Source organism: Homo sapiens, chromosome 17 (genome assembly GCF_000001405.40).
Source record: "Homo sapiens chromosome 17, GRCh38.p14 Primary Assembly".
NCBI lineage: Eukaryota > Metazoa > Chordata > Mammalia > Primates > Hominidae > Homo > Homo sapiens.
The window spans coordinates 34,791,467-34,813,597 of NC_000017.11; the positions used below are offsets into that span (position 1 = coordinate 34,791,467).

Below are 22,131 nucleotides of genomic sequence, written 5' to 3' on the forward strand. Positions count from 1 at the left end.
TCAACTATTCCATTCCCAGAATCTCCCCCGGCCCTATGTCATGTCTCCATTAAGCATGCAATGCAGTCTTCCTGGGAACCCAGCTGCCTTGTGGATGTTTTGTCAATGGCTGAGCCAACTTGGAGCACCTAGAGTCTGCTCTCAGCATCTTCTGGTGGCCCAGCCCTCTTCTCCCCCAACCCTGCCCCCTGCCACCAGCTATCTTGGAGATCACTTCACAGTTCCAGCTCTCTAGGCCCTATGCCTTCTCCCAATTTGCCATTTCTAGCATAGCTTTGACCACCAACTCCCTCAGTCCCCAACCCTGTCACCCAAGATCCCAGAGCCACCACGAGGGGGATGTCAGTTAGCTGCAAGTCATCCTACCAGCCAAGTTCGTAAGGAGCAGACAGGACCTGAGGTTCCCTTACCCTTCCTCTGCCCTCCCCATGGGCTGCAGGTCCTGTCCCCAGCACAGATGGCCTCCACACCAGGCTAACGGCCCTTCCCCCTACTCGAGGTCCACTCCCAGCCATTAATAATAGCAGTACCATCGAGTGTTTCGTTACTTAGCAATTTGCAATCATTAATTAGTGGAAATTGCAGATTGGGGCCATGAAAGGAGGATGGTGAGATTAAGCTCGTTTTGAAATCAAGTTAATTGAGTGATGGAGAGGGATGGCTCTCTGCTCCGGAGCAAGAGCCCCTTCTGTACCTGCTGAGCCAGCCTCTGGCCTTGGACCAGGGCTCAGTTTCCCCATGAGTGAAACAGGAAGGTGATGAATGGAGATGCCTTGGGCTGGGTGAAACAGGAGCATCTAGAAAGATAGACATTGGCCAGGCACAGTGCTCATGCCTGGAATCCCAGCACTCTGGGAGGACAAGGCAGGCAGATTGCTCGAGCTCAGGAGTTCAAGACCAGCCTGGGCAACATGGTGAAACCCCATCTCTACCAAAAATACAAAAAAAATAGCCAGGCCTGGTGGTGCCCACCTGTAGTCCCAGCTACTCAAGAGGCTGAGGTGGGAGGATCGCTTGAGCCTGGGTTGGCAGAGGTTGCAGTGAGCTGAGACTGTGTCACTGCACTCCAGCCTGGGATACAGAGTGAAACTCTGTCTCAAAAAAAAAAAAAAAGGAAAAAGAACAAAAAAAGAAAGAAAGATAGATAGATAGACATTGGGATAGACATAAAAGACTAAAATGGACACCACAGCCACTTTCTTTTTCTTTTTTTTTTTTTTTTAAATGGAATCTCTCTCTGCCACCAGGCTGGAGTGCAGTAGTGCGATCTTGGCTCACTGTAACCTCCAATTCCCTGGTTCAAGCAATTCTTCTGCCTCAGCCTCCCGAGTAGCTGGGATTACAGGCACGCACCACCACACCCAGCTAATTTTTGTATTTTTAGTAGAGGCGGGGTTTCACCATGTTGGCCAGGATGGTCTTTATCTCCTGACCTCATGATCCACCCGCCTTGGCCTCCCAAAGTGCTGGGATTACAGGCGTGAGCCACCGCATCCGGCCACCACAGCCACTTTCTAAACTGATACTTGTTCCAACTTGCCTACAGGCCCCTTGAACTCCTATGGTTCTCCCACCTCCTCTGTGCCTTCCTAGCCCCAAGAACTTTTCCCCAGCCAACCTCTTTGAATTATTCCAAATTCCTTTTGCATAATTATGCATTATTAACCTCTGGGAATTGATTTTACAGACAGTGTTTAAGGGGAAAGGGTTAAACATTCTCCCCTACCCCACCCTACTCCGGAGGAAGATGCTGAGTAGACATCTCTTCTCCCAAAGCTGAAAGAAAGATGCTTCTGCCTGCACCCATATTTCTTCCCAAGGAGACACAATTATCTCCCCCACTTCCCTTCCCAGCGAGCAACAAGACAACACTGGCCCTGATATACGGGCGGCCGGCGGGCTCCCTGTGCTGGATGAGGACACATCTGAGAGCTGCCGTCCCTAAGTCATCTCCCCTCCCCCTCGCCTCTGGGGAGGAATCTCAATGAGGAAGGCAAAGCCAAGGAGGCTGGGAAATCCTGGACAGGTGCCCAGCTTCTCCATCCATCCAAACCTAGGACCCAGGGCTTGACAGTCCCTCCCCCAAAAAGTAGGATTAGGACCCAGAAGGACCTAATAGCTCCTGCCTGTTCCTACATGCTTGTTCCCTGATTCCCAGCTGTTCCTACCTCATTCCTGACCTTCCATTCCAGCCATAGTGAGCAGCTCAGCATCCCATCCATCCTCCATGCCTTTGCCCAGTCTGTGTTCTCTGCCTGGAATGCTGCTTAGTATCTTGGACATCTGTTCCTTCAACATGCACTAAGTAGCTATGTTAGCACTACTAATAAAACGCTGAATAAGACGAGATTAATAAGCCTCTGCCTGATGCAACAAGAGAAGACAGTCTCACCAAAAAGTAACTAAAATATAGTGTAGTGGCTGCTATGGTAGAGGGAGGGCTGCAAACGGCACCTGCAGCACAGGTTGGGTCCTGAAGTATACGTATAGAAGATTAGCAGGTGCATAAGAAGGCTGGAGGAAGGGTGTTTCAAGCAAAGGGAATAGCATGTGCAATGGCTCATAGTCATAAAGAACACACACGCATGGGGAGCTTGGAGGAGAGTGTAGACTGGGGGAATAATGCTGAGATGTGGAACCTCAGGGTCTGAGTGCCAAGGAGTATGCAGCAGGGCCACTGACAGCTGTGAGCAAATGCTTGCAGCTGAGCAAAGGATGGATAGGGGCAGGGAGTGGGGGTATGAGAGAGACAGAGTGATAAGCAAGTGTTAAGAGGCCACTGGAAACAAGGCAGGGTCTGTGAGCATAAAGAGAAGGGGTAGATTTGAGAGACATCCAAGAAGAATAGTCAACACATCCACTGAAATTCTACCCGGTCTTCAAGGCCCAATTCAAACACTCCCTCCTCCATGCAGCTTCCCCGATTTCCTCCACACCCGCAACAATTATGATCTCTTCCCTCTGTGATCCCAGACTGCTGAGCTCTCTATCAAACTGATCATCATGTTCTGCCTAATGTTACAGGAGTCTGCACAGGTCCCTATCCTCCCCAAATACTCCCTGAAGCAGGGATCATGTCTTATCTTCCCAGAGCCTAGCCTCTTGCCCTGCACAGAGTAGGCATTGATTTTGTTTGTTGAGTCTAATTTATTTGAAATATAGGGAGGCTGTAATCAGGATCGCTGCTAACCATGAGAGGTGTCCACACATGGAAAGGCTGGCCTGTGAGGGGGAAATTCCCAGCACTGGGAATGCAAGAGAGAGGACTGTTGCTCCCTCATTAGAGACCTTGCGGAGGGGAGTCTTGAACTGAGTGTGAGGTCAGGAGGCATGCTTACATCTGCTCCAACTCTCTGGATCTCTAGGTCCCCTCTAAGCCTACATATGTTATAGGGACTAGTCTTCCTTTCCACAGAGAGGGAGACTCCCTTACCTTGGGCTGCATAACAAGTCCCCCTAGGGATGGGGATGGGTACCTGGCCCAGGATTCTCCCCACAGTGGATTAAGACTGTGTCCAGGGATTTGGAGTCCCTTCTCTGAGGGCAGCATGGTGTCTGGCCACTACCCTTCCTCTGCTCGATCCCCAAGTGATGTGGCCTCAGCACACATTGTTGTGCATAGTAGCATGGGAGCTTTGCTGATCCTTAGATTGTAATCCTTCTTCCCTCAAGCTGGAAGAAGGGGAATAAAATCTGGAGAGAAACAGAGAGGCCAAGGTCTAGTGAACAGGGTGGATGACTTCAAGAGCTCAGATGCAATGACCTCTTCATGCATTGCCCAAACATTTATTGAGCACCTAATTCACACCATTCCCTGGAATTGTTTTTCCATCTCCACCCACTCATTGCAGCTGCACTGCCTCTATAGTGACACTGGAAACAAAAAAATAAGGATGGAGGAGAAACAAAACATACTGAGGCCCACTTACATTAAGCATTCTCTTGGGCGCTTTGTGAATTGGCATCTCTCAAACTTTAGAGTGCATAAGAGTCACTGGGATTTTGTTAAAACCAGATCCTGATTTGGTGGGTCTTAGTTGGGGCCTGACATTCTGCATTTCTCACAAGCTCTCAGATGACATTGAGGCTGCCTATCTGCAGACCATGTTTTGAGGAACAAGGTTGAATCCTTACCGAAAACAAAAAGAGAAAGAAAACCTGCAGAAGGATGTTGAGAGATTATTTTACAGGTTAGGAAGCTGAGGCTTAACAAGGTAAAGAATCAAAGAATGGAGTCCTCAGTCCAGAGACCCTGGTAGGGAGACAGAGCACATATTACACAGTCTGCTGGAGCAGGGGTATGCCCCATCTTCAGAGAGCCAAGTCCAAAGAGGGGGATATAACTTTATTCTGGGAATACACCCAACTGGATGACAGATATAAAGCCCTGCCCAGTGGGAACTGCCCAGTCTTGTAGGGGAGACATTGCTTTTGTCTCAGGGGACCCCTTGTCCTTCAGTAAAGGCACAGCCCCTACCCTTTGAGAGGTTGTTCTCAAAGTTGGCTCAGAGACCCAGAGAGAGGAGGAGAAAACAATACAACATCAGGGAGGCCTGTATTTCCAACATGGAGCCCCACTGCCTAGACCGGGGAGGAGATGTAAGGAACAGAGTGGGCTCATGGGGAGCCCCTTCTCAAGCCACTCAAAAACCTACCCCAGATGCACTGAGCTCCTGGCCCCAACATGGAGCTGGAAGGTGGCCCCCACGCAGGGGTGGGCCAGGCTATTTAACACTGTAAACACCACACTTTACTGCAGCCATTAGGTCCATAACAGCGGCCCATCTATCCTCACACTGGCCCTGCGACACCAAGCACTGATGGTGCAATTAGGTAGCAGAGAGCAGGCTGTAAATTGCTGGTACAGCCATCCCTCCACTGGGCACAGTGCGGATCCCCTGCCTGAACCTCCTGCAACCCAGGCTTCAGCGGCAAGTGGTAGTCTCCAGCCTCAGGACCCGCACAGGGACTACCCTCTGAGGCTGGGCCCCTGAGCACCAGAAAGCCTTTTGCCTGCTGGGGCCAGAAGGAACCATCAAATTCTTTGAATGGCTCCGCCCCACTGGCATTTTAGTGCCAGAAATTTCTGGGGTGCCACTTGTGCTTCCTTAGAGGTCCCTTGTACAATCTCTAACAACCATCGCACTGTGTCCTGGAAAGGATGGGACTGCTTGCCCATTAGACCATGTGCTTGCACAGGGCTGGGAACTTTTGAAAACATTTTTGTGTCCACTGGGCCTCACACATCATAGAAACTATAAGTTAGAGAATGTACATTTTACTTCATAATAATGTATGTTCCCTGACACCTTGGGCAAGTTTCACCCTCTCTATAGACCCCAGTTACCCCTCTAAAGTATAAGGACAATAGACCACAGAGGTTGCAAATCAGGGGCCCATTGACCCCACAGATGCACTTTGTATGGCTCACAAGAGGAGGGTTTGGGGTGTTGTTGTTGTTGTTTGAGACAGAGTCTTGCTCAAACTGGAGTGCAGTGGTATGATCATGGCTCACTGCCACTTCAATCTCCCCAGCTCAAGTGATCCTCCCAACTCAGCCTCCCAAGTTTCTGGGACTACAGCCATGCACCACAACACTCAGATAGTTTTTGTATTTTCTGTAGAGATGGGGTTTCACCATGTTCCCCAGGCTAGTCTTGAACCCCTGAGTTCAAGCAATCTTCCTACCTTGGCCTCCCAAAATGCTGGGATTACAGTCTGTGAGCCATAAGGAGGGTTTTTTTTTAATTATTCGATTGTTTTAAGATACACATACATCAGGAAATTTTACCTAAAAATCCAAATGTTCAGTGTCTCTTTAAAAATCAGAAGCCGTGACAGCACTGGGCCCACATCTCTCCATGGCAACAGTCATGTGTTGCTGCATAACTGTTGCCCCTCCAGTGTGCCCCAGACCTCACCTTTCCCTGTTGTGTATCCCTCAGTTTTCTTACGCCTGACCCACTTCACTCATTTCTGCTACCTTCCTGTGGGCCTTTAGGTTCCTATCTCATAACCTGGTCAGGAGGCTCCCTGTGTCCTACAATTCTGGATTCTTCAAATGAATGAGTGAAAAGATGAAGAAGATGGTTGACTAGAGAGTTTTGAGCCTTACCTTCTTTATGAGAAAATCACAAGGTTCTTCAGTTTTCTGACTTCCTAGGGCAGGGAATATCTTTCCTGCCCCTTGCTCCCTCAGAAGATGATGAAGAGAGTTTATAAAATATTCAGAATAATGACAATTGTCAGGGACACTGAAGTATCACGTTGCACAAAGGCCAAGGGGAGAGTGGTGTTTGTGGGGTTGAGGGAGAGGGACCCATTACCCACTTAATTCGAAGCCACAGCCAGGCTGAGATTCCCTCGCACAGTTCCCAAGGTCTGGCTGGTGGCTTAGTGGGCTCTCCTGATCAGCACCTAGGACAGCTCCACCCATCGCCCAGGATCCTCACTGCTCTATCCGGGCCCAGCCGCTTCTGTCCCACCTACCTCCCCAGCCTCCTCGCCTTTCCTTGTGCACCACGTGGGCTTTGTGTCCATTCCTCACTCTTGCCAAGCCCTTCCCCATCTCAGGCGCTTCTGATACCACCCCCTGGAAGTTTTATCCCACTTTTCACAGGGTTCCTGCTCGTTCTGAATATCTCAGCCTCAGCCTCACTTCCTCAGGGAGGGCTGCATCAAAACTGCAGTTCAAATTAAATCTCCATAGATGCTATCTCATTCCTTCATAGCACAGATTGTGGCTGTCATGATATATAGATATTTGTGTGATTACTAATGTCTCCTTCTGCATTAGAATAGGAACTCCAGGGGCAGGGTTCAGACCAGTTCCATTTACCATTTTATATCCGGGACCTAACATCAGACCTGGTTACACAGTTGTTGGATGAATAAATTAGTGAGCCCCTTCTGAATGCAGGAACTATGCTAAAATATAGTCCCTTTCATGGAATAACTTAGAGTTTCATTGGCTAGTTAAATTCCAGTTTAGCTGGAGTTAAAAATAATCTAATCCCACCCCCCCACCCCAATAAAGGAAGTCTTTATTCGACTTTATTCTGAAGCATCAAATCATTCTATGATTAGGTGATGGACCCAGGGATAGAATCCAGCTCCTCAGTTTTCCAGTCAAGCCCAGTCTCACTGTGGCTTCTTCCCCCTGTGGTTCTGTTAGTTTATCTGCCTGTTAATGGCCACACACATACCCCCTTCCATTATCCCATCAGCCCTGCTTGGGCATTGCTATTGATGGCATTTAACCCCCTGGGGTTTCTGTTTGCTCTGGCTCTACCCCATTGCTGCTTTCCCAGAGAGTCTGTCTGGGCCTCCTCAGCAGCTCTGAGTGTGGACAAGAAGGAAGATTTAATGTTACTGCTTTGGTCTTTTGTTTCTGCAAAGCAAACCCTTCCCCTGCTGGGAAACTCATCATCACCAAGCATCAAGCTCAAGCTGAGTTCCACTTAGCTGTTTGCAAATGGCAGTGGGGTGGGTGGAGGGTGAGCAGAAGGCTTGTAGTCCAAGGAGGGGGAACACAGTGTTTGTGAGAAAACACAATGGTAGGAGGACTGTTGGGGAGGAAGATGAGGTTTGTGATGAAGACTGGCTGACTGTGAGAAAAGAATACACCAGGGCACAGGTCTGCCTTGCCCACAATCAATCCCTGAATTGACCATCTTCTGATCACAAGCATGGACATTGGTCAGTACAGGCTTTGGCACAATTCCCATGGTACATCCTAGGCAGCTCTCAGCCTTCTATGAGTGGACTGATTATCTCACCAGCTGAGAGTCCCTGGGAATTCTTCTAATCTCTATGGGCTTCACTTTACTCATCCTGCAAATGGGAATGCTTGCAAAGTTGCTGTCAGTATATAACAAGATCATTCATACACACACTCAGGGAGGGCTTCACACATCATAGGATGCACAACAAACATGCTCTCCTCCCTGTAACAAGTATTTAGCCTCGCTTGCTCTCTACTTTGACCACAACTTGCCCAACAGCAGGGCTCACCCATTGTGGCTGGCCCAGGACTAGTGGAGAGGGATGGGGTAGGTGGCGGCCATGCTAGCACTCTGTGTCTTCATCTATCCCTGCACCTCCTCCAGCCCCATGCCTTCCTTCCTTGTTCATTCCAGTCATCAGTGTTCTCTGAACTGCAGGCAGAGTAATGTATTCCGTGGTCAGAACGTCTTCTGCTCCCTGCTGCTGCCATCTCTGTCTTGGTCTCCCTCCTCTCCACCCCATGAGCATGAAGACAAAATACCCATAGATGAGATGAAAAGGATAGAGGTAAAAAAGGACAGAGCAGAAGAAGGGGACCAAGTCCCCCCACCGTCTCAGCTTCCCTAATTGAATGACTCTCCTACCTGACTCTCCTGTCGGCTCCCATGTTCCTTCATTCTCCCTGATGGCCCTGAAATCATCTCCCCCATCTCATCAAATCTCTCCCCCTTCCTCCTGCTTGTTCTCTAAGCCGCAGATTACTTTTTCATAAAATTCAATTTCTAGCCATTCTCATTACTTACTCACTTAATGTGGCGGGGAGGGGGAGCAGAGGAAGACGAGGGAGGGAGATGGTGTCTGTGCAGCACTTATCCAGCCTAGTTACCAAGGCCCCTCGCTGAGGTGTATTAGAGTCTGATAAGACCAGATAATGGACTTCTGTCCCCACACAGGGAGCTGGCATTGGCGTATTCGGGTATTGCGGCATCATGTCGGAGGGTGGCAACACTTACAATTGTCATCCGTGACTCCTCTCTTGCTGGGAAGAGTCCACTGGGAAAGCTATTTGTTCAACAAATATTTTCAGAGAGAATTTTATTCACCTGTCACCCTACTAGGCACTGGGAGCACAGTCATAATAAAGAGGGGTCTCTCTCCCAGGCCCAGTGGTCAGGGAAGAATTCGGGAGGAAGAGGCATAGAAGAAGATCTGAATAGGAATTATATAAGCTCAAAGAAGAAAACAAGTATCTTAGTTTGGGTTCCCCTTTAAAAAGGAGCCTGAAACAAGGGCTTCGGGGCAGATAATTTACTTGGGAGATAATCCCAAGAAACCAGAGGGAGGGAGTCAAATGGGGAGTGAGACAGGGAAAAAGAGAAATCAGTAAAGATAGATTAAGTGAGTTACTTCTGTAGAAAACTCCAGACCCTCTGCATAACCACATTGAATATGCCACAGAATTATCCCTTAAGGAAGGAGGATAGGACATTATCCTCTGACTCCTGTCCCCATTGTTTGAGGGTTAGCCCCAGTGGTATTCATTTCCCTGCACTTTCATTATGCTTGTACAGGCTGAGCAGCCTTCTCAGACTTCTGAGAAAGCCCTGAGTCTGAAAAGCAGAGAGATACCACTTTGCATGCTTGGGATAAGATGCTGGCAGCATGCCCAGAATTGTCTACCACAGTTGCACTGAAATCAGATCAATGAAGGGAATGTGGTGTGGGGCACACAAAGTGTCTGCTACAGTCCACCCCTTGTAGAGCTCAGATCTGCCTGTGACCCAAAATAAGTTCACCTTGTTGCTGAATTTTCAAGAAAAGGCAGGCCTTAATCTCTATTTTCTAAAACGTTCTTCAGACAGGAAGGTTAATGTGTCAGGGTACAGTTCCAACAGCTACAGCAGGTCCTGAGAGATATCCATCCCCCATGCCCTTTACCACTTACTCTATATTTCCTTTACCCTCAGCCTACCTGATTCTGCCAGCCTGGGTCACTTGCTCAGTGAGGTACCCAGACCAACATCCATGAGACAGGTAAGGGGGGTGAGCCCCTGGTTGCCTCAGTCCCATTAGGCTGTTTTTGCTGCAATTACCTATTCACTATTATCATCAGGTATGGAAACATTAAGAGATGCGCCAGTGAACCCCCTGAGTTCCAGACAGAGTCTTCCCCATCCTGGTTAGGTAGCAGCAACCCCAGCTCTTTGTGAAAATCGTGGTCAATTACTCCGACCTTCTTTTTGCTAGTCCACTGACATGAAGGATTCAAAGTGACCAGGGATCACTCAGGGTCAGTCACAGTAGAACTCTACTGTGTCTCCCTGTAGAACCGGAACCTGGCCTCCACCAGAGCCTAGAGTTGGGGAGACAGAAAGCACATCTTCTTCTTGAAGGTTATTGGAAGTGATGATAGATGGACCCAACTTGCTTCCAACCCTTGTTTCCCAGATGTATATTCTAGCTCTCGGGGGACACAGCACCATGCATGAACCATTGGTTCAATGCATACCACATCCTGGAGGTCAGTACCACAACCCTGCAAGGTATTTTCCACAAACTGGTGTCTTCTCCAAGCCTTTAATAGGCTATTCCAGTATTCTATCAGGCCACCTGCTTCTAAGTGGTCTGGTGTATAATAGGACCAGTGAATTACATGTCTCATGACTATGTTGACCTCCTGCACCATGAAATAAATCTCTTGGTCTGAGATTATGTTTTTGTGGGATCCGATGCAGATAAATCAGTCACGTTTTGAGATCTCAGATAGTCATACTAGCAGAGGCACTGCAAACAGGAACAACAAATCAAATCGGATGAGGGTAAAGGCCAAAAAAGCGAATTGAGTAGAGATATGATGGAGACAACCACCCTGCATCTTTTACATCTTTCAGGGTGGCTCTAATCTCTGCAATTTCACCTGGATAGCTTTTGACTTTCTATTTTGGCTGGAGAGGGGAGCAGTTTCAAGAGATTCCATTTAGCTCTTCTTACCATAAAAACTCTTACTCCACAGGTGAGAGCACCAATGTGAGGGTCTGCCAACATCTAAATATATCCATCTCAATAATGCATACAAGGGTTAGGGAAGAATAGTCCAGGGACTATTAGAGGTACTGGAAAGTGAATGTAGGGTAGAACTCTACCACATTGCCTTCACAAACTCCCAATTTCACTGGGGAACTTTGATGGCATCACAGGCCAGGTCCCCTAGCATCAGTGATAGTCAGACCTTGTATTCAACAGTGCTCAAAAGGTCTGGGTGATCCCCTGTCTTTGGCAAATGGCCAAGGGTCCCTTTGTTGAATAAGAAAGGGAATATTTATTGTATACACTTTGGTAACATTTCAGGTTCTTCCTCAAGAGGACCTGGTTTTCCATCAGTGGATGGGCTCTGGGTCTGAGAACTAGCTCAGATCTGGACAGAGGACGAGGAATCATGATTTTCTATTGCAGTGGCTGATATCAGCCATTAGATAATCAGTTTGTTTTGTTTTAATTTTCTTGTGGTTATGCAAGTCATGGAATACCCTCGTTGGCCACCTATTATCTAGACCCTGGGAACACCATGGTGTGTTTTTCAGGACCAGAGCTCCTTGTATGTTAAGGCACACTGGTGGCCACTCTGGCCTTGCTTCCTACTACAGTAATTATGTCCACTTTGCCTCTGATTGTTAATGCCAACACCAGACCTCTACTAGTCCAGGTTCTTCTCTTCTCCATTGACACAGAGAACTCAACCCCATGGCTTCATCTCCTGTCTGCTCCAGCCTACAGAGGACAGCCACCACCAAGCCACTCATTGAGGCTGGAGCCTCCCTCACTAGTGCATTGCTTATCATTCTAATGGTGAGAGTGTCCTATTGCCCTTCTCTGGGTACATAGATTTACATGATAGGTTTTCTGGTTTTGTGTAATAAAATCCATTCTAATACACTCACTTCTCTAACAGTTCTGACATTTCCAAGGAGCTGTCCAAGCAGCATAAGAAGGCTCCAGGATTCCCTGCCAAAACATTAAATCCTGTCTTGGAAGAGTGTCCCCATGTCAATAAATGTCTTATTTCCAGTCTATATTCCACCCCACCCAAGTCCAACTTCTCGAATTCCATTCTTATACATATTTCCCAGTTTCAGCTGCCATGCAGTAGCCAGGTCCTCCTGCAACTCTTTCAGTGAATAAGCTATTTCCTCCCTTAACAGGGATTATACTCCCTCTCTTGAGCTATGCTAAGACCTGACCTGAGTTCTTTTTTGTTTTGTTTTGTTTTGTTTTGTTTTTTTGAGATGAAGTTTTGCTCTTGTCACCCAGGCTGGAGTGCAATGGCACGATCTTGGCTCACTGCAACCTCCGCCTCCTGGGTTCAAGCAATTCTCCTGCCTCAGCCTCCTGAGTAGCTGGGATTACAGGCGCCCACCACAATGCCCGGCTAATTTTTTTTTGTATTTTTAGTAGAGACAGGGTTTCACCATATTGGCCAGGCTGGTCTCGAACTCCTGACCTCAGATGATCTACCCACCTTGGCCTCCCAAAGTGCTGGGATTACAGGCATGAGCCACTGCATGTGGCCTGACCCAAGTTATTAATCTAGATATAGGTAGGGGCAGATCTTGAAGCTGGACAAGTATCATCTTGCAAGGCATCTACCACAAGAGAGGTTTCTGCATAAGAGAGGCAAGGAGAGGCTGATCTACTCTAACAAGGGGGAAGAGGCTGCTATTGTCAGCCAGGAGGGTTCAGGGGAAGCTGGAAGTTCAATGTTCTCAGATGTATCCACCCAAATATCCCCAGCTCATATCTCACAGTCCCACTCCTTCTCTAACAGGGATCTGACTTGAGCCTAAAAGACCTGTTAAAGCTGCATGTTAAACCCTCTTTGCAGCTTTGCCTTCCTTATCATTCACTCCTGGCCTTGGTTTTTAGCATTGCTGGTCCTGTACCACACCCAGTCCACCAAGTGAAAATCTCAAGAATTTAGATGCTCAGTAAATTAAAAGTTTCCACACACCACACTGGATGCCTGCAAAGGAGTCCTTATTGCCATCTGACTGGTTAATGATCCAGTTCCAGAATCCCATACTGAAGAGGAGCTTTTTAGGGTGACTTCTAGTATCAGCTGTCATAGTTGATCTCTCCCTAAAAGCAGAACCTGAAACAAGGTCAGAGATGCAGGTAGTTGACTTGGGAGATGATGCTAGGAAACTGGAGTAAGGGAGTAAGGACAGCAAGACAAGGAAGGAGAAAGACCAATAAAATGTATATGGTTGGTCTGGTTACACTGTGGGCTACTGGAGCTCAGTCCTGCTGCAGATCCTCTGAAGAACTACGTAGAACACACCTTAAAATTGTTTCTCCAGGAACAGAGGACAGAAACACTTGCTCACTAACTACTATCCCCCATTAGTTCCCCTGAGGATGTAAACTATCCTGCTCAGCAACTTTCCACCACTTTGGAGAAAGCCCTCCATCAGAAAAACAGAAAGACAATGTAGCCTGTGTTTCAGACGGGAATGCCTGGAAGTGTCCGCAATAGCTGTGCTGAAATCAGATGGGCTGAAAGGGTATGCCATGAAGCAAAAAAAAAAAAAAAAACAAAAGTGCTGCAAATAATGTTTCTGACAGCAGCAATAGCACATGCAAAAAAAAAAAAAAAAAGTGAGAGAGAAGATGGTTACAGCATAGGGGCTGGGGGTTAGGGACTTGAGGCAAAAGAGGATCATAAAGAATCTAGTAGGCCATATTAAGAGTTTGAATTTCACTCTGAAAGAATTTGAGAGCCATTGAAGTGTTTTAATCTGGAGAGTGAAATGACAATGAACTTTTTGTAGAGCTTTATTATACAAACCACTAATTGTCACCCAGTATCAACACTCCCTGTCTTCATCAGTGCCTCTCATCTTTCAATGGGCACAGGACTCCAGCCCAAGTCTCTCTTACATCTAGGAGTGGCCACAATGTTCAGTTTGGGCCAGTGGGATGTGAATGAAAGTAGTGGGTGCTATCCAAGAAGTATCCTTAATGGGAGTGTCCTCCTTCCTGCTGTGTGGACTGGGGATATAATAGCTAGAGCTGGAGCAGCCATCTTGGTCCATGAGGTGACAAGATAAAAAAGTCAGGGCATTAAAATAAAAAGGGGTTGCAGTGCCTGACAACACCATGGAGCAAATCCACCATGCCAGCCCTGAACTTCTCACCTGCAGACTTTTCATGTAATTTTGGGTCTCTGTTACTCATAGTTTAACCTAATTCTAACTGACACAGGGCTCTAGAGTGAATACCAACACATCAGTTAGAAAGTTATTACAGGTAAAGAATCTAGGCAAAGGGTAATTGTAGCTTGGACTGGGATGGTGGCAGTGAAAATTGAGCAAAGTGGGTGGATTGGAGGGATATTTTGGAGGTTAAATCTATGGCTTGGTGCTTGTGAGAGAGTATGAGGGGGTTAGAGATAAGGAGCCCTAGGGTTTCCCCGGTTCCAGACATGAGCAAAGGGATAGTGGTGGGACCTAGATTGGGTTTTTTGGTTAGGTGAACATATACTTGTTCCTTGTTTCCAAGTAGGGACTGAGATACCTGGTATGAGCCCCACAAAGGCCCCTGCTCCCATGCAGGAGACCCTGAACTAGCTTCCAAACACACTTCTAGATTTACCTCTTTGGTGAATCTTCTTGGATTATTCCTGCATCCCCACCCCAAAACCACTTGATTTATTCTATGCTCTTGATATGCCCAACATCTATTTTTCTTGTTTCATGTAGAACTCAGCAAATTTCACTGAGAACCAACCCTATGCTCTGTGTGTGACAGAGATGGCTTGATGGGAGCAGAGTTAACTCAGGAGCTGTGTTAGACACCAAGAATAAAAATGAAAATGAGCAATAAGCAACCACAGGTAGCTCACAGCAAAGAAGTTTGATTAGTAAACAAATATTGTCAGCACCATGGGATCCATCCAATGATAGTGTGCTCTGGGTGCTTCATTTTTCCAAGGAAAGTGGTTGTCCTTGGAACAACCTGCAGGGTTACAGAAGTCATCACAGATGACGGCGCATCTGGACCAGGCTTTGAAGCTAAGATGAGGGCAGACATTCCTGGGCAAAGGTACTCACCTATACAAGGACATTTAAGGAGGAATCCGTGTCATAATTTAAGAGAATTGTTAGCTGTTGGGTACTGTTGGAGTGAGAGTTTTCACAGTTTTTTGGCTTTTTTTGTTTGTTTGTTTTTATGGCAAAAGAATGGATTGGAAACTCAAGATGTGGGCAGGGTCCATGTCAGAGGGAACATTGTGAGCCACACTAAGTGGCTTGTACCATAGGCATGGGCAACAGAGGGGATGGGGATGAGGAATTTCAGTCAGGAGAGTGATAAGATATATAACAAAACAGAAATTCTGATTGCAATCATTGCTAACATTTACTGAGTGCTTTCTTATGTGCCGATACTGGTGCTAAGCAATTTACCAGATAACCTCATTTACTCTCCACCCAGTAAGATAAGTACTATTAGTATCCCCAGGTTCACAGTTGAGGAAACTTAGATCCAGGCAGATTATGTAACTAGCTCAAGGTCATACAGCTAATATGTGGTGAAGCCAGGATTCTAATCAGAGAGGTCCGCCCCAGAGCCCATGCCCTTAGCCATGATGCTAATGCTAAAATTCCCTCTCATTGCTTATGTAATGAGATGTGTAATGAGATACATTACTTTGCGACTATGCTTTAGAACATTCCATATGAGGAGGTAAGGAAGAGGGGGTTGCAGAGCGTTTTGTACAAAAGGAGTTTTCAATAAATACATCGGACCAAGGGAGAAATCGCATAATAAAGAAATATGGGATTTTAGATGGCTAAAATTAAAACACTTTAAAGAAAACATGCTCAACTCCCCATATTCCCAGGGAAGAAACTGAGGCTCAGAGAAAGGGTCACACAGAGAGTTGATGGCAGGGTCAACCTCTGGGGCCTGACTCTGATATTTTTCTTACACTATCAGGGCAATTTAGCAGTCTTCATAGTCTATTCCTACATAGCACTATCTTTCCGAGGTCCTGGCAAATTGTACTCGCTCTCTGGAAGGACAAGAACAACTTTGTTCTTTTTCTTTTTAAACAGCAGAGGTCCCAGAAACAAAGCCAGGATTGGCCCCGAGAAACTTGATGTGCACACTGCAAAGTCTGAGACAACAGAGAGTTAGTCGAAGGAAAAGCAAAAACTCTCCCCAAAGCCATCATTATGGGGAGGATTTTGACCACAAAAGAAGAAAAGAGTAACAGTTCAAATAAAGAACTCCAGTCCAAGTCCCCAAATCCCAAAGTGAGATCCAGTGAGTCTGCCCTGAACAGAAACTGCTTACCCTCCCTGGTCAAGGTAAAAGCCAAGGAGATAGGCACCCAGGCTTCCCATAGGGAAAACTGAGTTGGAACTCTGCACCCACCCAAGCCATGTCTCCATCACACACACACACACACACACACACATGCACGTCATCTTCCCTCATCACCCCACAGGGTGCCCAGGACTTTTCTAGTGTCTGCAAATGGAAACATATTAAAGGTGCAAGACATTTAGAATAATGCAAATGCCTAGAAAGGGCACACAATGTGGGCTTCTTTCTCCTCCCTTGACATATTGTGACTAAGTTGGTTAAATGTCTGCTCTGTGCTCTGTCTGAAAGGGTAGCCAGTGGTGTGGTGTAGAGGAAAGAGCACTGGATTGGGATCCATAAGGTTCTGATCCTCTTAGCATTTGCTGTGCTTCCTATTTCCACTTTCTGAGCCTCAGTTTGCTGATCTGAAAAAAACAAATAAACAAACCAAAAACAGTCTTTCCAGTTCTAGGAGCTGATTAAAATGGAGCAGCCTCTTCACTGCCCCCTCCCAACAAACACCTATTGCCCCCTGCCTTTGCTCCTACTGTTCCTCCTACTGGAAATGCCCTCCCACCTCCCCTCCACCAATTCAAATCAAAGCCCAGTTTTCTCCAAGAACCTTTCCCTAATTATCCCCACAACTATGTGTTTCTTACTTTGAAGCTCCTCAGCAAGTCTGTGCTATTTCTCACACACGTTGCCTTACGATCCTTCATGCATGAATGGATTATCCTTCTAATTGGACAGCAGTATGGTTTGGATCTGTGTCCCCACACAAATCTCATGTTCAGTTCCCAATGTTGGAGGGGGGGCTGGTGGGAAGAGATTGGATCATGGGGGCAGTTTCTTATGACTTGTTTAGCACCATCCTTCTTGGTCCTGTTGTCGCAGTAGTGCGTTCTCATGAGATCTGGTTGTTTAGAAGTGTATAGTAATTTTGGCCAGGCACAGTGGCTCATGCCTATAATCCCAGCACTTTGGGAGGCCAAGGAGGGCGGATTATCTGAGGTCAGGAGTTCAAGATCAGCCTGGCCTACATGGTAAAACCCTGTCTCTGCTAAAAATACAAAAATTAGCCGAGCGTGGTGGCGCGCACCTGTAATCCCAGCTACTAGGGAGGCTGAGGCAGGAGAATAGCTTGAACCCAGGAGGTGGAGGTTGCAGTGAGCCGAGATCATGTCATTACACTCCAGCTTGAGCAACGAGAGCAAAACTTCATTTCAAAAAATTTAAAAAAAAATGTATAGCTTTTTTTTTTTTTTTTTTTGAGACAGAGTCTCACTCTGTTGTCCAGACTGGAATGCCGTGGCACAATCTCTGCTCACTGCAAGCTCTGCCTCCCAGGTTCATGCCATTCTCCTGCCTCAGCCTCCCAAGTAGCTGGGACTACAGGCATGCGCCACCACGCCCGGCTAATTTTTTTTTTGTATTTTTAATAGAGATGGGGTTTCACCATGTTAGCCAGGATGGTCTCGATCTCCTGACCTTGTGATCTGCCCGCCTCGGCCTCCCAAAGTGCTGGGATTACAGGCGTGAGCCACCGCGCCCAGCCATGTATAGCACTTTTTAACAACCTGCTCCAGCCATGTTGGATGCCTTGCTTCCTCTTTGCCTTCTGCCATGATTGGAAGCTTCCTAAGGCCTTTCCAGAAGCAGAAGCCACAACGCTTCCTGTAGGGCCTGCAGAACCATGAGCCAATTAAACCTCTTTTCTTTATAAATTACCCAGTCTCAGGTATTTATTTATAACAGTGTGAGAACACACTAAAACAGACAGCGAGCTTCTCCAGGGCTATAACCCCATACCAGTGCCTTTTCCATTGTAGAACCTGTGCCCTGGGGTGTACCTGTACTTAGTAAGTGTCTGGATCATGCCACCCTCCCCCTCAACCCCCTCTGTTGGGTGAGGTTCAGGCTCCACGCTGTCTGCAGGATAGTGTCATTCATTTTCTCAGCAAATATTCACTGAACACTTACTATGTGCTAGATGGTGGTAGGTACGGGAGATGCAACAATGAATCAGTCACAGCCCCTGACTTCAAAGACCTCTCAGGCTGACATTCAAGGTCATTTACATTTGGTCCAGTCTCACCTCTCAGTATTCTCCTTCTCAAACCTCCTCTAGCTCAGGATGGTTCTTCTATCCCTCCTTGATTTTACTCATGCTAAATCCTTTGCTGGGAACCCCTCTCCACTCTTCACCATCCTCATAAATCCTAAAGTATGAAGAAGAGAAAGAAAAGAAAAGAGAGAGAGAAGAGGAAGTGGAAGAGGAGAAAGGATTATCAGAAAATATAAATCCAGCCCAACCTTCAAGGGTATAGAGAAACCCTGAAGTTTCCTATACCAAACTCTATCCTGTTGGTTAGTATCTAGATGCCTACTGTCTAGTGAGAAGGTCAGTGTTGGGGTCGCCTAAAGGTGAAGTCCAGGCAACTTCCCATTCATCCTGGAGATGACCCCCTGCCCTTACCATGCACACTCATCCTTCCTCCTGGTTCACCCTTCAGCCACTCAGGCTGCTAACTTACTCCTTGTGCCTTTCTGGAGGCAGTAAGCCAGAATGCCCAGGTGAATGGCTGGCTGAGCCAGTAAGTAACAGACAAACCTACCATACCTGGTATTTTTCCCTAATTGGATTAAGAACAAAATATAACTTCCCTTTGTTTCCTCCTAATGCACGCTACAGATCAGTGCTCCTAATAATTAGACCCCAGCACTTCCTATGCAGGAACACAGGGAGGCCAGTGGGCTGCATCTGGAGACACATCCCCTCTCTTTGGCCCAGCACTCAGCCCCTGTTCCTAACCACTGCCCAGCCCTGTATCTACGGCATGTTCTCATGAGAAGGTAAGAATGAAGGCTCAAACTGCAGGGGACAGAAGAGAGGCATCAGGCCTTTCTTTGTGGAGCATTCACTTCCCTTGACCTGCACTCACGTCCCTGAGCTCTTGGAAGGGAAGACATCGTGCTGGGGCATATAGACTCGAGTAGCTCTTGGCCATAGGGGTAGAGGATACCACCCACACTCCCTACAGATTAATCCTCCTCTCTCCCCTGATTCCCAGCCAAACTTCATCCATAGCCACCAATACACTCTGATGAGGGAGGTTGGATCTAAATCCTTCTCCGTTTGATTAGGAGTTCCTGATGGAAAAGAACGATGGCTCTGCAAATAACTGCAAGCCCCCGTAGGACCCAGGCCAAGACTCCTCATGTCTTCAGATTGGGGCTTCTGTGAGTGGAGGCCTTTATCCCTTTTTCGGGCTGGAGCACCCACACAACAGGGCACTTCCTCCCCCATCAGATTGGGAGTTCTGTCGGGAAAAGGTCTATTCTCCCTCACCGGCTGGAGGCTTCCCCAGAACAAGGCCTACTAGATTTGGTTAAACAGGTATTTGCTTAACTCCTACTGTGTGCTGATGTGCTGGATACTTCCCTGAACAAAGACTGAGACCTGGTCCTGGCCACAAGGAGGTGACAATGCAGAGGAGGAGACATGGCACCCTGCATAAGACCAGCAGCTGAGGTCGGGGCTCAGCTCTTCCCATCCTGACAGCCATCCGAAGGAAATAACTAAGAGATGGATGCATCCAGAACAGGGAAGCAGGGTCTGGCCCCTTTCTGCACTGGCTGGGCAAATCCTGTGACCTTAGTTTTTTAAACCATAAAATAGAAATGGCAGAGCCTGCTTCATAAGAGTCTTGTGAGGCTCCTGCAAAACAACAGGTAAAGCCAGGGGGTTGGGTGCTGACACAAGCTTGAGGGGCTGGGGAGGAGCCCTGGCTTGCAGCATGTGTCCATTTCCTTGATTTCAACACTCCCCTCAAGACTTGTTTCAAGATACAAATATGATGTCCCTGAAATGGGAGCAGGGAAGAGATGTGCCAAATTGGCTTTCAGGAGCTGGTGTGAGCCGGCCCCAGCACATCGCTCCTTAGAACATACTATATGCTCAGGAAATGGTGAGCTCCTATTAGTACCTGATCAGGCCATACCTAGCCCCCTATTTTTTCAAATGTCTGAGCATCTCCCTTAAATGGGATATGAACAAGCTGCAGCATTTTGGAGAAGGATGACCTAAGGATGGAACAGTAGACTGGCTATTCCCCAAACCGTGTCCCATTTCCTCTTGGGCACACCACCAGACTCTATTTGCAGCCTCTCTTGCAGGTAGGGCAGCCATGTGACTGAGCGCTGGCCAAAGGAATGTGGGCAAGTATGACGTGCGTCCCTTCCAGACACAACCCATAAAAACCTCCCAGGCAGCCTTCAGGTTCTCTCTTCCCCATGCACTGTCTAAATGGAGAGGAAAGAGCTCCAAGATGGAAGGAAACAGGGATGTGGGATTACTGCACAGAAGGTTGCCCACTGAATACCTGCACTGGACAAATACGTGAGTGACACATCAACTACTGGTAATTAAACCACTGAGATTTGCAGACAGGGTCTTTCTTACAGCAGTTGGCTTATCCCAACTAATACAGGTTAGCTCACAACCTCACCACATGACAAACAGCTGAGGAACTGTTGCCCTGTAGAGGAGGAGGTTCAGCAGAGAACATTGTACACTGTCCTTAAATACTTTATCCATCATCTTAGAGCAGAGTTGACCCAAGTGACATGAGACAGCAGCTCTAGGACCAGTGGCAGGAAATTCCCAGGGATGCAGATTACAGCTCCACACACAGGAAGGTAATGTTAACAGAGGCACAACAGGTGACCTTAAGAGACAGCAAGCTTCTACTCCTGGCTGTGCAAACAGGTGAGAATGTTGCAGAAGCCACATGAGCATCAGCTAGCAGCTTGACATCAGTGACATAACGCAAAAACATTCTCAAGACCTTAGATTCTGTGATCTTATGATCTGTCATCCCCAACTAGGATGCTGCCTCCTCCATCAGTCTAAGATCTCCCTAGGCCTGGGCTCGACACTCTCAGGAGACCAAAAACCCTCAGGACAAGAATGCTAACTCTTTTTCTTTTCTTTTCTTTTCCTTTCCTTCTTTTTTTTTTTTTTTTTTTTCTTTTCTTGAGACAGGATCTGGCTCTGTCTCCCAGGCTGGAGTGTGGTGGCACCATCTTGGCTCATTGCAACTTCTGCTTCCCGGGCTCAAGCCATCCTGCCACCTCAGCCTCCCAAGAAGCTGGGACTACAGGCACACATTATGATGTCCAGCTTATTTTTTTGTATCTTTTGTAGAGACAGGACTAACTTTTTTTCAGAATCTGCCCTAGCTGCCCCTGGCCTCAGCACCCGTTAAGAGCCCCATGTTCAAATGTGGGGGCCAGGCTTAGTGTTTAGGGAAGACATGGCTACTGGGGAAAGCTGGATTTGAGTCCCCAGATCCTACATTCCTGAGCAAGAATACACGGAGAAGTCTAAGTAGCAGAGAGGCAGAGGGAGGGGATTGATCTGAAAAATAATTTGTGGTGGAGGAGAGGAGGGCTGGCTGTTCCCATGTCCGGCAAAAGCAGTGATCTTCAGTTCTCTCAGCATTATCCAAGGATGAAGGCTCAGCAAGAGAGGCCTTGGCTCATCTCTCTGGAGGCCTTCTGACATGACAGTCTGGTCTGTGTTCTATCAACATAGGCACCTGTGCACATGCACGAACACACACGAACGCACACACACAAACCTTTTCACCTCTGTCCTGGCCTCCAGAGAGAGGCCTGCTATCTCCTCAAATATTTCCCAAAGCTAAGCTCCCAAAAGCACCCCGAGGTTTCCAGAAAATCTGGGGGCTGGGCCTGGGGAAGTGGCAGGGAAAATCCACAGAGAAGAAGGCTTCAGGGCATTTTCCTGTAAGAGTCATTAAGACATATTAAATTCTGACGCTTCCTCCCCCTGCCTATGCCAGCTTCACCTCCACGCAGGCCTCCCCATCGCCACGTACAGAACATTAGGGCTAAATTGAATTAGAATAATTAACTTTTGGTCACACTTTTAATTTGGTGCAGGAAATAAGAGAGCTAATGGAGATTAAGCAAGGCTCTGACTCCAGAGACCAGCCTGGAAGCTGCACGGGGAGGCCCTGG

At 47.4% G+C, this 22,131-nt stretch overlaps 1 long non-coding RNA gene across 7 annotated transcripts in view, besides 2 other annotated features; it reads right to left on the reverse strand.

The window, feature by feature from the left end:
* The window catches only part of LOC105371742 (uncharacterized), a 163,994-nt gene that overhangs the window by 32,063 nt on the left and 109,800 nt on the right, over positions 1–22,131 (reverse strand). Inside the window, exons 4-5 of one of the 7 annotated variants that reach the window (XR_001752847.2) lie at positions 18,185–18,308; positions 8,035–16,514 (exon numbers count right to left, since the gene is read on the reverse strand). The exons of 5 other annotated variants lie outside the window; for them this stretch is intronic. This is a non-coding gene — a long non-coding RNA (uncharacterized LOC105371742). Of the gene's footprint in view, positions 1–8,034; positions 16,515–17,805; positions 18,309–22,131 lie in introns of those variants that run through there. One more of the 7 variants, XR_001752846.1, reaches the window with a different exon arrangement.
* Positions 6,331–6,531: a silencer, noted in NCBI's record as "peak2814 fragment used in MPRA reporter construct". NCBI's record gives its function as "represses an SCP1 promoter by STARR-seq MPRAs in K562 erythroleukemia cells {active_cell/tissue: K562}" and the evidence as "EXISTENCE:reporter gene assay evidence [ECO:0000049][PMID:32103011]".
* Positions 7,041–7,740: an enhancer, noted in NCBI's record as "OCT4-NANOG hESC enhancer chr17:33125526-33126225 (GRCh37/hg19 assembly coordinates)". NCBI's record gives its function as "activates a minimal SCP1, AML or CMV promoter by ChIP-STARR-seq in naive and primed H9 embryonic stem cells {active_cell/tissue: H9 hESC(naive and primed)}" and the evidence as "EXISTENCE:reporter gene assay evidence [ECO:0000049][PMID:30033119]".